Source organism: Homo sapiens, chromosome 7, assembly GCF_000001405.40.
Source record: "Homo sapiens chromosome 7, GRCh38.p14 Primary Assembly".
Lineage (NCBI taxonomy): Eukaryota > Metazoa > Chordata > Mammalia > Primates > Hominidae > Homo > Homo sapiens.
In genome coordinates this window covers 9,016,544-9,019,463 of record NC_000007.14, presented here as the reverse complement: position 1 = coordinate 9,019,463, position 2,920 = coordinate 9,016,544, and the positions used below count along the sequence as shown (strand labels likewise).

The 2,920-nt window shown below is 45.2% G+C and overlaps 1 annotated feature.

Moving 5' to 3' along the window:
- Positions 2,358–2,558: a silencer, noted in NCBI's record as "peak6368 fragment used in MPRA reporter construct". NCBI's record gives its function as "represses an SCP1 promoter by STARR-seq MPRAs in K562 erythroleukemia cells {active_cell/tissue: K562}" and the evidence as "EXISTENCE:reporter gene assay evidence [ECO:0000049][PMID:32103011]".

Sequence of the window (2,920 nt, the reverse complement as noted above, 5' to 3'; positions counted from 1 at the left end):
CGGGACAGGACAGTAAGACTGAGAAGGCTGCGCCACTGTCCACGAGACAGTTAACCTCCTGGCCTTCAATGATCAAACATACCCGGGGCTCCATGAGGGTGATGGCATGGGCTGGCGCTTGGCTCGGGCACCCTCAGTCCTGCTGCTATATCATCTGATTAGTGGCTTCTGACTCAAAGGACCTTTGTCCCCTGGGGCAGTGGGTCTTCCAGTGACTCCCTTGACATAAGCGGCATGGACGAAGCGGCAGCTTATTTCTATTCGGACAATCTTTTTTAAAGTGTCTTTGCAGACCGCACTGGAAGCAAGCCCTATTAGGCATTCGATTTTCCCAGCCTTTTCCTTTTCCAGAGCCTCCAAAGTTCACTTGCCTGAGGGCCGTAACTAAAGCAGTGTTTTTTAAATCCTGTTTGTCCCATTCAGCCTGCTCCTCATCTCTATTACAAAAGATCTGCAGCTGACCGAGAGATAAACACCATTTAAGATTTAGTTGGCCTTCAATAGAGTCAGGTGAACAAGAGGTATGCTTTCTCAATGCCTCCCCTTCATCTCTCCAGAGGCGGTAGGATTTTCTTTCTCTCCCTGTGTTATAGTGGACATCATTGAATAATTTATAGGCTTCCTAGTTTTCCTTAGTCCTAGCAAGCAAGTTACATGTCTGCGGCACCAATCTCCATGTTCTGCTTCTGCGTCCCAATGAGGGTCTACACTGGGAACTGCCTCCTGGCCTGTAGGGAATTGTTCTCTTTCCTCTGTTATCATCTTATCATTGACCTGAGATACCAGAGATCGCTGGACTCCCAGGCTGCAGCTATGGCGGCACTTGTCTAATTTGGGGTTAGTGTCTGATCTAGCAGTAACATTATCTCTCTCCATGTCAGATCAAAGGATTATCCTAACCCCTGTAAAACATCAGTATAACCATCAGGGTTATCTGAGAATTTATCTAGGTCTATTTTAATTTGCTTCGAGTTGGACAGGGAAAAAGGTATATACGCTTTGGGCCAAATTCTCCAGAATTCATCTTAGGGGTGTCTTTGCCTTGGAGGGAACGTTTCCCATTTGAAAAAAAAAAAAAAAGTTGCCAGCACCCCTAGTCATTGTCCCATGAGTATTAAGTCCTAGAGTGTCCTATATGTTGCTAATGCTTATTCCTTTCCAGGGTGCGTAACCACCCATGGACCTCTGCTTATCGGATTAGTTACGCTCACCTATGTAGCAGTCCTGCACCCGTTTTTCCTGCCTTTCTTGACCACAAAGAAATGGGTCTGGGCTGGATATTAGTGGTCCTTTACCAGCGTGCCCGACATTGCCTTTGTGCTCAGGGGTGATTTCTAGAGCTGGGCTGGGTTCCTGAGTATTTCCTAACAACCCAGCTTCCCCGTCAAGATGCATTCCCATAAACGGTTCTTAATGCAAATTCGTTTGACAGGGTGTAGGCAAGCTCTTGAGTCAGGATTGAAAGTTTTGATTCTGTGTGTACTTTAAGGCTTGGCGGAGTGTAAACAGCTCACACCTTTGAGCAGACCAATTGTTGGGCCATTTTTCTAACTACTTTCACAAAAGCCTATCAATTACTGAATACCTGTTTTGTTTTTTCCCCCTCAATCACCTGGAAACTTCTATAGTCCTGTCCTGAAGGGAGTTCCTCCTAGGTCTGGTCGGACTTTTGTGTGGTAATTAAGATTTAAATCCCGTTAGGAAACCTGCTGGGTTAAGGGAGTTTTCAGCGGTTAATGTTAAATCACCTTTTTGAACAGAATAGCCACATACTTTAGGATTGGGTAAGCTACTTTTTTTGCTCTTTCACTTAGGATAGCTCTGGTGAGGTGTACTCACAATGAGGTTTCTTCTAAAAGTTGTTTTTCTACTTTCTTCTGTTAGCAAAGCAGTTGCCTCTACCGATGGAATGCATTTGGGCCATCCACGGGTTACTGGGTTAACGATTATTTGACAGGAAGGCTACGGGTTGTCAGTGGTCTGTGCTTTCGGGCTACACGATTGTTTATACTGGTAACAAAACCCTGCCAGTTCTCCCCCATTCATCCAACTCCATAGAGTCCCTTGTTCTGAGAATTATGGACGAAACTGTTTTACTGCACTGAAGAGTGATAAATTCTGAGTACTAACTTTCACTCCCCCTCTTCATAGTAAATGCCTTAAGAAATTTAGATAAGCAGAAAGTTTGCTTGCTTTTACTTTGTCCCCTTTCCCCCCGCCCCCTTCTTCCAAGCGCTCAGCTTTCCCACCGAACTTCTTTTAGAGGTCGAGCGTCCTTTGAAAATGCATTCTCCGCTTTCATCTGCTCTAGCGTTCTTTCACTGGGGTCTTTGCCGCCCACTATTGGGCAGCCAGGAATGTTGGGGTGATCAAACCCAACACCAGGTCGTGGGGGTGCCAAAGTCCAGCGAAGTCAAAAGATTGAAAAAAGGAGAGTGAGAGTAGAAAAAAAGTGGGACAGCGGAGAGCTATCGCTACCATATGGAGGCCGCGAAAGCCCCAAGCTCTGGGAGCCCACGGTATTTATTGGTGATCCAACAAAGAAACAGGTGGTGAGAATATGGAGGTCATAAAGGGCAGGCGCATGATCCACAGCTGTGACGGTTTAGCATTTATATGGAGCATGTTCTGCTACTTGAGATAATGGGAATAGGAGCCTAGGAAGGCTAGAAGCAAGGCGCCAGCAAGTCTAGACACATTTCCAGAGGTCATTATGCAAGCCCTGCCTCAGTTTCCCTCCTAACACTCAGCTTTTTCCCAACATACAAAAACCTCAACAAAATCCAAGCAGAATAAACTTAAATATATCAGTATCTAGATACATCATAGTCAAACTGTCAAAAGCCTAATTAAAAAAGAGGAACATGAAAAAAGTAAGAGAATACCCTCATCATGTATTAATATGTGGTTCCCCAGTACA